Below are 14,015 nucleotides of genomic sequence, written 5' to 3' on the forward strand. Positions count from 1 at the left end.
TGTGTGACTCATTATTATGCCTGTTTTCCAGGTAACGATTTTCCTGAAATATTTTTCTCTGTTTCTGTTTTTGAGACAGAGTCTCACTCTGTCACCCAGGCTGGAGTGCAGTGGCGAGATCTTGGCTCAGTGCAACTTCCAACTCCTGGTTCAAGCAACTCTCGTGCCTCAGTCTTCCAAATAGCTGAGATTACAGGAATGTGCCACCATGCCTGGCTAATTTTTGTATTTTTAGTAGACACGGGGTTTCGCCATGTTGCCCAGGCTGGCCTCAAGCTCCTGGCCTCAAGTGATCCACCTGCCTTGGTCTCCCAAAGTGCTGGGATTGCAGGCGTGAGCCATTGTGCCCAGCCTATCCTGTAGTTTTTGCTTGATATCTTATTTATGAAATCTTTCTTTTCACTAAGAACAGAAACATGTTAGTTTATATTTTATTCTAAAATTTAAAGTTTGTCATTGACAAATCTTTAATCACTGGAATTGATTTGATATAGATATTAGAGATCTAACTCCATTCTCCATTCCAACCTCCATTTTAATAGCCAATGGTCAAAAAATTTAATGAACTGTTTTACCTTTCCTCACTGATTGGCAGTGCTGCTTCTTCATGTATCAAGTTTAAGTGGCTCTGTTTCTGAACATGCAATTCTATTTTATTTGCTAATTTATCCATACTTAAGACAAAATCACATTCTCTTGTCACAATCACATAATACATTTTTCAATCTGATAGGACAAATTGACCACTTACTTTTTCTCCTTTTAAGTATCTTCATTATTCTTGGTTCTTTGTAATTCTCAAATAACAAGAATTATCTCCTCTAGTTTCTAAACAGCAACACAATAAAAACAAGAACAAAAATAATAATTTCTCTTTTATTTTGAGAGGGATTGATTTGAAGCCATATAGAAATTTTGGAAGAACTGATATTTTGTTGTCTGTGATAAGCAGATGTCTCTATTTTTAACTGTTTTAAAATATTTATAATTTTATCCATAAAGGGCTTATGCATGATTTAAAAGTTAAACTTCCAGGGTTTTTTTCCCTAAAAAAATTATAGTATTGTACTTCACACTTAAGTCCATGATCTGTTTGAGTAAATTTTTGTATAAAGCATGGATTTATGATTTGTCTATTTCTCCTTTCAGTTCTATCAGTCTCTGACATATTTTGAGGATCTGTATTTGGTACATGTACGTGTAGGATTGCTATATTTTCTTGGTAAATTGGCCCTTTTATGACATTTTGACTCTGGAATGTCTAAGTATCTGGTAATTTTTTTTTCTCTGAAGTCTGTGTTTTTATCTGATAGTAGCATAGTCACTCCTGCTTTCTTTTGATTAATGTTTACATGATATATCTCTTCCCCTCCTTTTACTTTTAGTGTGCATATATTGTTATATTTGAAGTTTCTGGTAGACAGCATATAATTGTGTCATGTTTTTAAATCTACTCTGTTAATATCTGTCTTTTAGTTAGTTTATTTGGGTAATTAACACTTAATATAATTATTTACATTGAACATAAAAGGCTTATGTCTGCCATCTAAGATGCCTCCAGGCTTCCTAATTGATGTGTCTTAAAACTTCAAAAAGAAAAGAAATTATTTTATTATTTTAATAATTTAATTTGGCTCTTTTTTTATTTTAAACTTTTATTTTAGGTTCAGGGGTACATGTGCAAGTTTTGTTATATAATTAAAATCATTTCACGGGAGTTTGTTGTACAGATTATTTTATCACCCAGGTACTAGGCCTAGTACCCAATGGTTATTTTTTCTGATCCTTTCCCTCCTCCTGCCTTCCATCCTCAAGGAGGCCCTTGTCGTTCTGTTGTTCCCCTCACAGGGTCCCTGTGTTCTCATCATTTAGCTCCCACTTACAAGTGAGAACATGTGGCATTTGGTTTTCTGTGTCTGCATTTATTTGCTAAGGATAATGGCCTCCACCTGCAACCATGTTCTTGCAAAGGACATGATATCATTCTTTTTTGTTGCTGTATAGTATATATGTACCACATGGTATATACGTACCACATTTTCTTTACCCAGTCTGCCATTGATGGGCATTTTGGTTTATTCCATGTATTTGCTATCGTGAATAGTGCTGCAATGAATCTATGCATCCGTGTGTCCTTATGGTAGAATGATTTGTATTTCTTTGGGTATATACCCAGTAATAGGATGGCTGGGTCAAATGAGAGTTCTGTTTATAGCTCTCTGAGGAATTGCTACACTGCTTTTGATGGTTGAATTAAGTTACTCTCCCACCAACAGGGTATAAGCATCTCCTTTCTCTGCAACTTTACCAGCATCTGTTATTTTTTACTTTTTAATAATAGCCATTCTGATTGGTGAGAGGTTGTACCTCACTGTGGTTTTAATTTGCATTTCTGTAATGATTGGTGATATTGGATTTTTTTATATGCTTGTTGGCTGCATGTATGTCTTCTTTTGAAAAGTGCCTGTTCATGTCCTTTGCCCATGTGTTAATGGGGTTATTATTTTTCTTGTACATTTATTTATAGATGCTGGATATTAGTCCTTTGTCAGATGCATAGTTTGCAAATATTTTCTCCTGTAGGTTGTGTTTACTCTGTTGATATTTTCTTTTGCTATGCAGAAGCTCTTTAGTTCAATTAGATCCCATTTGTCAACTTTTGCTTTTGTTGCAATTGCATTTAGCAGCTTCATCATGGAATCTTTGCCAGTTCCTATGTTCAGAATGGTATTGCCTAGGTTATCTTCTAGAGTTTTTATAGTTTGGATTTTATATTTAAGTCTTTAATTTATTTTGAGTTGATTTTTATATATAATATAAAGAAGGGGGTCCAGTTTCAGTCTTCTGCATATGGCTAGCCAGTTATCTCAGCTCTATTTATTAAGTGGGGGGTCCTTTCCCCATTGCTCATTTTTGTCAGCTTTGTAAAAAATCAGATTGTTGTAGGTGTGCAGCCTTATTTCTGGACTATCTCTTCTGTTCAGTTGGTCTTTGTGTCTGTTTTTGTACCAATACCATGCTGTTTTTGTTACCATAGCCCTGTAGAATAGGTTGAAGTCAGGTAGCGTGATGCCACCAGCTTTGGTCTTTTTGCTTAGAATTGCCTTTGTTATTTGAGCTTTTTTTTTGGTTCCATATGAATTTTAAAATACTTTTTTCCTAGTTATGTGAATAATATTATTGGTAGTTTAATAGGAATAGCATTGAATCTATAATACTGCTTTGGGCAGTATGGTCATTTTAATGATAATGATTCTTCCTATCCATGAGTATGGAATGTTTTTCCATTTGTTTGTGTCATCCCTGATTTATTTGAGCAGCGTTTTGTATCTCTCATTGTAGAGATCTTTCACCTCCCTGGTTAGCTATGTTCCTATGTTTTTTATTCTTTTTGTAGCAATTGTGAATGGGATTGATTTTCTGATTTGGCTGTTGGTGGTGTATTGGAATGCTAGTGAGTTTTGTCCATTGATTTTTTTATCCTGATACTTTGCTAACATTGTTTATCTGCTGAGGGAGCTTTTGGGCCAAGGCTATGGGGTTTTCTAGTTATAGAATCACGTCTACAAACACAGATCATTTGACTTCCTATATTCATATTTGGATGCCCTTTATTTCTTTATCTTGACTGATTGCTTTGGCCAGGACTTCTAGTACAATGTTGAATAGGAGTGGTGAGTGAGGACATCCTTGTCTTGTGCTGGTTTTCAAGGGGAATGCTTCCAGCTTTTGCCTATTCTGTATGTCAGTATGATGTTGGCTGAGGGTTCATCCTAGATGGCTCTTATGATTTTGAGGCATATTCCTCCAATACCTAGTTTACTGAGGTGTTCTTTTTTTTGTTTTTTTTTTTTTTTAAACGGAGTCTTGCTGTGTCACCCATGCTGGATCACCTGAGGTCAGGAGTTCAAGACTAGCCTGGCCAATATGGTGAAACCCTGTCTCTACTAAAAATACAAAAATTAGCTGGACACAGTGGCACACGCCTGTAGTCCCAGCTACTCAGGAGGCTGAGGCTGAAGAATCACTTGAACCTGGGAGGGGGAGGTTGCAGTGAGCTGAGGTTTTTTTTTTTTTTTTTTTTTTTTAACATGACAGGTTATTGAATTTTATCAAAAGGTCTATCTGTGTCTATTGAGATAATCATGTGGTTTTCATTTTAGTTCTGCTTATGTAATGAATCATATTAACTGATTTGCAGATGTTGAACCAACCTTGTATTCCAAGGATAAAGCCTACTTGATCATGGTGGATTCACTTTTTGATATCCTGCTGGATTTGGTTTGCAAGTATTTTGTTGAGGATTTTTGCATTAATGTTCATCAAGGATATTGTTGGCTCACTTTTTAAAAAGTCATTAACACAGAGTCTAGCGGGTTCTAATAAAAGTTCTATTAATAGCTTGTTATGCTTGGAATGTAAGCAAACAAATGAAACTTTCAATTTTTTATCTTTTGTTCCCAATATTTCCAAATATAAGTATAAAACTTGATCTCAAACCTATGGTGATGACTTATATGTAACCAATTAGCAAGCCATATGGTCTGTCCTGGACTATTCAGTCTATGTTCTGATGAGTTCCAAAATTGTATATTTCCTGAATTTTCCAATAAGGCCTAAGAAAAAGCAGGTGGATAGATGATATTAGACTTTTAAGCACCATTAAGTTACAGGCTGTGTCTTTTTTTCACAACATCATATTTAGAGCATAGTATAATGTGGCACATAGAAGATTTTGATTAATATTTGTAAAATGGATGAATGAACAAATGAAATAGAAAGCTGATTTATTAGCTCTCAGCTCAACAACAGTCCTCATTTCATCTTCTTCTGTCCATACTCAATCCCCATCTCCAAGGTACAATTTGAAGTTCAATTCCTTTTGCAGCATTTCCTTAATGCTCTACCAACTGGAAGTAGCTGCTCCTTTTCCTGAAAACTTAGACCATCATGCCTCTGATCACCTTGTACCTCTCATTGGTGATGTTTGTTCACATCTTTTGTTATGACTCTTGAGCTCTTTTTATTTTTTGAAAGGGTCATCTGTGTCCGTTCGATCTTGTCACCGCAGCTCCCAACACAGTGTTTTGTATCCATCAGAGGCTCTCATTGAATTTCTACTGCAGAAAGTTGTGACTGCCTGAGATGGCTGTTGTTCTCATCTGGGACTTGTTCCATTATAATGGTGAAGGGTTGTCAAGGTTGGAGGATGACTCTTTAGGCTTCACTGTAGAGGAACACATGGGCAGAAAAATATCTAGAATCAAAACTTATATGTGGTATCACAATGACTTTGTCTTCAGAAACATATCATGATACACATTGTTGAAACTGGCAGCCAATACCTTCTGAATTAAAATTTAATTGTTTTAACTTTATCAGAAGGATTGATTTGCTATCTGATTCAGTAGCGCAATTAGGTGAACATATTCTTAAGGTAAATGAACAAGAACTGAAAATAACCAAAAGAGTAGGCTGGGAGTGTAAGCCAAAACCAAAATCTTGATTTAAAGGTATTTTCCATCTCAAAAGCTACTCATGTAAGAACTAGCTAGATTTTCTAAAATAATAAATCTTGTTTGTTTACTCTTTTTATTTTTAGTTCTTTAAAGTGCCAGGTTACTGTTATTTTTTGAAAGTGGTTCTTGTGGAGATTAAATATGGAAAAATGATACTGCTTTCAGAAGAAAGTACTCTGTTGAGAAACTTCTGTCATAAGAAAGAGCTACCGGTGCAGAGGCTCATGCCTATAATCCCAGCACTTTGGTAGGCCGAGGGGGGCGGATCATGAGGCCAGGAGATTGAGACCAGCTTGACCAACATGGTGAAATCCCGTCTCTACTCAAAATACAAAATTAGCTGGGTGTGGTCACAGGCACCTGTAATCCCAACTATTCAGGAAGCTGAGGCAGGAGAATCGCTTGAACCCGGGAGGCGGAAGTTGTAGTGACTGGAGATTGTGCCGCTGCACTCCAGCCTGGGTGACAGCAAGACTGCATCTTAAAAAAAAAAAAAAAAGAGTTATCAACAGAAATTTATTATACTCTTTCAACATAGGGCTAGGGCCTTTTATTTTCTGAACTCTTAAATTACAAAAAGGTTGGAGAGGGCAGAAATGATGTGAGAAAGATGTGTAGGAATTAGCCAGGTGAGGAAATGACCTTTCAAGCAGAGGAAAAGGGGACGGTGAAGGCACACAGCTGACACAGAGTAGGAAGTATGGAGAGACCTGAGACTGAATCAAAAGGCAGAAGAATGAGAAATGAAGCTAGAGAGGGGAATCCAGAGCCTTGCATTTATTGTACTTAAAGAGCTTGGAATTTATTCTTTACACAGGATAAACCATTAAAGGTATTTTCCATTAATCTGTTATAACTATTTATTGTGCTAGGCCCTGTTCTAGGGATTGAAGATACAGCAGTGGGCAAGACATAATGTCTTCCCTCAAGGGACTTATAATCTACAGAGGAGTACAGAAAATAGATAAGCAATTATAATATAATACATGCTTTACCTTTGCAGTGAAGAATCTTGGCACCTTATTAAGAACTTACCAATATTTTAGGTTGTTCACTCTTCGTGCAGTTTGGAGTATGGCTACAGGTTGACAGAATGTGAGACACTGACCTTATTTAGATAAAGTGCCTGCTACGTAGTAGATATTCAGCCAGTGTGCTAAATCCCGGACTGCTTTCTACTTGTTGGGTGGGAGACTTGCAGCTGTTTAAAAAAATTTAGCACCTGGCTGGGAATGATTTATTGATATAACCCAGGAAATCCATAGACATTTATTTTGGTTCTATGATGTCTGTTATTTTGAGAGAGAAATAAGAAAACTACAAGTTATCTAAAATAATTTTTGTAGAATAATTTCTCAAAGATTTGACTATGATCTTGAGCACTTAGTCATTTTTGCTTCTATTTCTCTATAGCACTCAGTATACAACTCCATTAGTGTTAATTGCAGTGTGTTAATCATCTGATTATATATCCCAGGTTTGGAGAACTATGAGCACACCAGGACTCTGAGATGAATCCCAAACAGAGGACCTGGCACATCAAAGAGAGATTTTTCTCAAAGTATCATCCCAGGACTACCTGATGGGCTTGCAAAAATGCAGATTCCTGGAACTCTGCTCCAGACAGAATTAATCAGATTTTATTAGGAAGGTTGGGAATTTGCACTTTATAGTCCTCAAGATTCTTATGTATACTAAAGTCTGAATATAATGTTTGCTGTTGAACTGAAACTCAAGAACTTACTCTTTTTGAGTAGAGAAGGTGTCTTATAATAAATTCAGGTTTAACTAACATTAAATTTGACCTTAAGCTCTGCTATTTGTTTTTTCATATTTTTGGAACCACTATTCTCAATGTCAGAAACACAGGAAGAAGATAAAAATGTCAATACACAGAAATATATCTAGACAAACATCTGTGACACTCTTACCTCAGTACCTTATAAAAGTACATGTTGGGGGAAAAATCCACATTAACCCCAGTCAGGCAGGCAACTGAAAGAGGCATCTCTACTGCAACTTCTAAAACTTAAAATGCAAAGAGGGGGCTTGGTAAAGATGATCAGGTATTGAAAGCCCATCACGTGGAACAAACCTTATATTAATTTGTTTAATTTTCACAGTAGCCATGTGATGTAGACAATAATAGTCCCATCTTATAGACAGGAAATTGAAACTTGAAGAGGCTAAGCAATTTGCCCAGAGAAGATCTTCATTTTTATTTTTTCTTAAATAAGTTTTTTCCCCTTTTCCTTTTTCTCTTTGCTTAGAAAAGTATCAGCAAAGACTAAAATAAAGATTTTTTTTTTTTTGCCTCTGTAGGATTGGATATTTAGTAGCTAATGTGATGGTAGCTTTTTCCAGTATAATTCTTCAGTACTCTAATTTTATAATAATTTCTCATCTCTAACAACAGAATACAATAGCTGGGAAATCAAAGGTGTCAACTGATACTCCAAGTGTTTTATATTTAATTTTAGATTACATGCAGTAGATCGGTCTCTAGCATCCAACCACACTGTAAGACATGGAATGCTTCTGTAAGACAGTAAACCAACTGGAGAAAATCACATTTGATTCTGGATTCAGGGCTGAAGACACAGAAATAGCCAGGGGTTATGCATTTTTCTCAGCTGAGAGAGCAAGCTCAGGGTTGGCATTAGGTTACCACATTTTGCATTGCTTAGAGAAGACACATCTGTGTTCAAAGAGGGTTTCAGGAAGCCAACTAAGACAAGTCCATGTCTTCATCAACGTAATCCTAAAAGTTTCAGGTCTTTTTGTAACAACAGTTATTATATATTACAAAGCGAAATGTAATATAGCAATCTAGTGAAAACAGCCCTATAGTTATACTCTGCTCTGTGATTCTCACGGTGAGAAGAATATGGGGAGATGAAGCCTTTTCTCTGAAGATATTTCTTAAACTGTAAAATATGAGCAGTAAATTCATATTTTTAGGACCTCATTTCTAAGGTCCTTTTGCCAAACTTTTAAAAATGATGATTTATATATGTCTGCAACAAGTGTGAAAATATCTAACATTTCTCTTAATTCTGATTTAACTCAATAAACCTACATGGCTGGGTGACTTGGCATCAGAAATGCCCTGACAGGGAGTCAGCATACAAGCTGAATTGGGTATATTGAATTCCAACTTGACTCATTTCAACATTTTACCCTGATTTCACATCTATCTAATGTATAAAGGCTTCCTATGGTATTCAACACAGTAATGTGAATAATCAAGCCATTTTTTGGGCTGCCCACTATGTGGGCTGACCCAGGTTTGCCAGGGACAGATTGGGTTTAACTCCATTACAGATTAATTAAAACCTATTAATTATTGTGGTGACCCCTTTCACTCTCAAAAGTGTCCTGGTGTAAACGGTAAATCACATGGCCACCCTATTCTTCACAGCCTTTGTGACATAGGTATTGGTCTCCTAATCCCACAGATAAGGAAATGGTAGTTGGCTTTGAGAGGCTAAGCAACTTGCTTAATCTAGCTAGTGGTGGAGCCAAGATAAAAACTCAGTTCTGTTTGGCCCGCAAATCCATGTTTTTAACCACTACCCTTCAAGGATCCTTTTTCTTCCATATGCTAGGAAAAAATTACTTATAATACAGCGCTGAAATGGGTATCACATCCTTTATTTGTTTTTAAAGTGCAAGTAACCTTTCCTCCTAGGACATTTATCTTTATGTTAAACTTAAATTCATCTTATTGAAAATTCAAGTGATTCTTTGGGCTCTGTCCCAGTGGATCTGGAGACCAGCTGGTCATGAGGATTTTAACTTTTTTCAAGTGTATTTATCCCTCAAGCCTCTGTAAATGGAAAACGTTGACTGCAAGGAACAAAGCCTAGCAGTGCTTTGCATAGCATCCTATACTGCGTTGGTTTATGTATCAGCAATAGGATGATGTGAGGGTTTGGGCAATGCTGAGGCATGTAGTCATGAGCTGAGGTGATATTCTTAAGGCCAAGGACACAGTAAACCATTCCTTGGTTGTCCTGAGAAGAAAAGAGGGCAGTATTTCTAAAGAGTAGGGATTCTGAAGATGTTGAATACATTGCCCTAAAGGTGTGCTGATCTGGAGAAAAGTGGGGTGGTTAGGAAGTAAATGTGGCAATAGTGGCTAAAATTATAAAGTTACCTGGCAGGACAATATCATCTCTATTGGACAGAAAAGGAAATAGATTCATTCAGCTTTTGACTTGCTTGCTCAAGGTTACACACAAATAAAAAGGCCAGATCTTGAATTCAGGGTTTCTAACTAAATAATTCTCCCGTTCATTCTCTCTTCCCCCATCAACTCACCTTCTAACCTATCAATTAATTTATGTTACTAGTTATCAAACATTTGAGTACCAACTTTTGTACCCAAATAGTTCTCAAATTTTGATGGTTATTTGAAACACCTTGGGACCTTTAAAAAATACTGACTTCTTTCTGGCTGCCAACATGGACTTCGTAATTTAATTGCGTGGGCTGTGATCTGGGCATCAGAATTGTTTTAATAAAAACTCGCCAGATGATTTTAATGTATAACCAAATTAGGAATCCGCTGTGCTGGCACTTGATTGAAGCTAGGCATAAGATGACCCAGGCAAACTGATGCTCTTAAAAATTGTAAGGAAATAGGGGATTCAAAGTCCATCCTTCTTACTTAAAGTATACAGAGAAAACATTTAAGCATAGGGGCCTATGGTGTTCATAATATTCAGGGCATACGTAATAAAAGTTTCTAAATGTTGCAGTCTCTTAGAGTGTCTAATTTTTTTTTCCCCTGAGCGGTTTGGGGATGAACACAGCAAAATAAGATTTCTTCAGTGTCTTGTACTTATGTGAAGTGTACAGAGTGAAATATATGCCACTTCTATGTTCGAAACCTGAAGTGAAATAGATATGAATAAGTTGTAATTGAATTAGCACCTCACAACAGCTGCTTTCAGGGGGTAATTTAGGCTTCTTTTTATATCATGCTTCAGACTTTGATGTGATGAAAGGATTTCGGAATGTACTTTCAGAATTCTTCTTTTCCTCAGAGTCACATGGTTAAATGATCAGAGATCACATTTTATTTCTGTGTGGAAAAACCTCCATTAATCTGATGCAAAGTAGGCACTCTTGAATCCTGAGGGAAATGAGAAGTGGCTTTCCTTTTAAGAGCTTGCCAGCTAAGCAGGCAGCTAGGCTGTGCCCATGGGCATCTGCCTCGTGGTGCTCCAGGTGTTTCTCCTCAGGAGGGCCCCAGAAGTCAAGGCACATTAGCAATGAGTCTCCAACTTCTGTCCAATTCAACCCTAAGGACTCTCTAGATCCAGGGGTGTTTCTGGAACAGTAATATTAAGGCATCACCCAAGAGTATTACAAGAGGAGCAAAATAGAGATTCTCCTTTGCAGACTTGAATAAAGCTTGAACCAGTTTGCTGTAAACATGAATGCATTACAAATTGGGGGCAGTTGCTTTGTGGCAGAGACTGGAGGCAATGGCTCAGAGGCAGAATGAATATTCAGATATAACCTGCATGTCCAACAGCCTTTGTTATTACATATGCCAGCACATTAGATATTAATTTAACCTGTGAGGTCATAGAATCAGAAGGGATGATATGAAGAGATCACAGGGCTTTCTGATTCCCTGTTAAATTGCCTCTAAGCTATTTAACATTTAGGATTTATAAGTTTCCACATCACAAAACTCTCCTTGCTCTTCCATCTGCTGGAAGCAGTGTCAGAGCACAGTCCAGACCTGCTTGTTAATTGGTGGATAGATGCTACGTGCAGTTGGCATCAAGACTTCCATGGTGACTGTAAGGGACAGAGTACAGCCAGGTTGGGGGTGCAGGGCTCCGAGCTTCATAGTGAAGGAGCAGCAAGGCAGCACAGCTTTTCATATCCTCCTTTATCTTTGTCTCCTTTCTTTCTCATTCATCATTTCCTATCCATCCTTTAAAGAGCCTGAATTTCTTGTATTCATGGATTGTAAATGGAAAAACTACTAGGTGCCCAATTTTACATACAGAATCTCATTTAACACAATCTGTTGGAAATGGTTATCATCAGCTTATTGTTTTCCTGCTGCATTCTTACATCATGTTCCATGTGCATATCTATAGTGACACAATGTTTTCTCTATTTGTCCCACTAGAGTGTGTGCTTCCTGAGAGAAGAGACAATGTTTCTTTCTGAACTGTTACTGTTAAGCACAGCAGTTTCATATGATGATAGATGCTGGGCATAATTATAAATATATTTAAAAATTTAGTACCTGGTATTTGCCAAGGAAGTAAATATTGAGTGAAGAAAGAAAACTAAAGTCCAAGAAGTGGAAAAGTGTTTTACACAAAGTTACACATAGTTATAAATTGATTCTAACCCCAAAGCTATCATCCTGCTATTATGCAGTCTCCTTTGATGAAGATGAAATCCAACATTAGATGTCACCGTATGTTTTCACAACTTGCTATTGAGTGAGCTGCCCAGGTTTTGCCGTCTAATTATAGGCTTCAAATGGGGTATGAGTTAGATTGGCCTGTTACAGAGTTAGGAATTTAGATGGTTCTCAGGGCAAGCTTATAAAGAAATAGTGATTTCCCTTAATATTTTGGTTCATGTTTAAGAGAGAGGGCATTCTCATTCTCTCAAACTTAAAGGAGAAGCTTTATATGAATTACAAAATGCTACGGTTAAGTTTGTGCTTCAAAAAATACAGTAAATAGACTATATGCTTCTAGCCTTACACAGAGTATCAGTGTACTATTAGGTTGTACCATTAGGCTTTCATAACGAAGTCAAAATGACCAAGGCACCAGCATATTTTCACAGTCCAGCTATAATGCTAAGAAATGAGCTGGCTAGGACGTATGAAATTCAACTTGTGGCTCTACTTATAACATTTTCATGACTATAAGAAGAGAACTGGAACATAGATGTTCAGTAGCATAAGTGCCAGAATAGTGCCATTAAGTGCAAAGCAATTTCAGGTGAACATACATTTTGATTGCAAGCTATCTAGATAATATCTTCAATTATCTATAGTATTTCCCCTGCATAGCCACAGATGCTGAATTGCTTTGTGAAGATTTCCACTTCCTTTTGTACTATGATATCAAAGCTATGACTTTTTCTTACACACACACACACACACACACACACACACACACATAAAACTAGGAGAGAAATCACAATGGGAAAAGAACAACTTAGAAATAGTTTTTGATACCAAACATACTGAATTAAGAAATAAAAAATTATGAGATGGGGTTATTAAAAGACATGATTTTTCAGCTGCTGTATTCTTGTTATTTCATTAGAAAGATATAAGTAGGAATTGAGAAAAGTTGAAACTGCTCCAGCCAAAAAGATGTAGGTAATTAGAGCAATCTACCCTTGGCTGAAACACAATGAAAGTGACAGGGCTGTTGAAATTCCATCTCTAAAGCCTTTAAATACAGTTTGAGTATTTTCTACAGAAATTTGAGGCAGTGATAATGTGTAGGGATATAAATGGGAAGTGGCAGCAGCTCAAGAAAACATGGAAAATAGAGTGTACAGAAAGAGGATTGGTTTTAAAAATCTGGAGGCTTTAAACATGCTCCATCAGCTGGTCTAGTGATAGCACAGCCACTTACCTTCCCCATTCTGATGCCTCTTCATGCTGGCCATTTTAATCCGATTTCACCCATTTAAGAATACTGAGGAAAGAAAATAAATTGTTCTACCATAAAGACACATGCACTCCTATGTTCACCACAGCACAATTCTCAATAGCAAAGACATGGAATCAACCTAGGTTCCCATCAGTAGTGGAGTGGATGAAGAAAATGTGGTATATATACACAATGGAATACCATACAGTCATAAAAATAATGAAATCATGTCCTTTGCAGAATATGGATGTAGCTGGAAGCCATTATCCTAACTGAATTAATATAGAAACAGAAAAACAAACACCACATGTTCTCACTTATAGGTGGGAGTTAAACAATGGGTACTCATGGACAAACAAAAGCTGACAACAGTAGAACTGGGGATTCCAAAAGGGAGGAGGAGAGGGGCAAGGGTTGAAAAATTAACTATTGGGTACTATGGTCAGTTCTTTGGTGATAGAATCAATCGCATCCCAAACCTCAGCATCACGCAATGTACTCAGGTAACAAAGCTACACGTGTACCACCTGAATCTAAAATAAAAGTTGAAATTTAAGACAAAAGAATATTTAGGGGTGGGAAATTCACATAGCAAATATGTATTTGCTGCCTATAATGCCTCCACCGGTGCCAGCTGCTCAGAAGGCTCAGAGATCAAAAACAGATGTACACCATTTTGCCCCAAACTCTTGTTCTTAACTTTTATGTAATCAGGTCTTAGATGGGGTTTGTCTATAAAACAAAACAGAGAGGTAAAGAGGTTTAGGGTATAGCAAGAGTGTTACTTAGAACAGAAGCTTCATAAGTTAGCAAGTGAAAAAGGGAGAAGCTTGATGAT

The 14,015-nt window shown here is 36.9% G+C and overlaps 1 protein-coding gene across 4 annotated transcripts in view, besides 1 other annotated feature; it reads left to right on the top strand.

Annotated features, from left to right (window-relative positions):
• The window catches only part of UNC13C (unc-13 homolog C), a 795,839-nt gene that overhangs the window by 105,008 nt on the left and 676,816 nt on the right, over positions 1 to 14,015 (top strand). The window lies entirely within an intron of this gene.
• Positions 5,583 to 6,782: an enhancer, noted in NCBI's record as "CDK7 strongly-dependent group 2 enhancer chr15:54240389-54241588 (GRCh37/hg19 assembly coordinates)". NCBI's record gives its function as "activates an origin of replication core promoter dependent on BRD2, BRD4, P300/CBP, MED14 and CDK7 cofactors, with strong dependence on CDK7, by STARR-seq in HCT116 cells {active_cell/tissue: HCT116}" and the evidence as "EXISTENCE:reporter gene assay evidence [ECO:0000049][PMID:35650434]".

This window comes from Homo sapiens, chromosome 15 (assembly GCF_000001405.40).
Source record: "Homo sapiens chromosome 15, GRCh38.p14 Primary Assembly".
NCBI classification, from domain to species: Eukaryota; Metazoa; Chordata; class Mammalia; order Primates; family Hominidae; genus Homo; species Homo sapiens.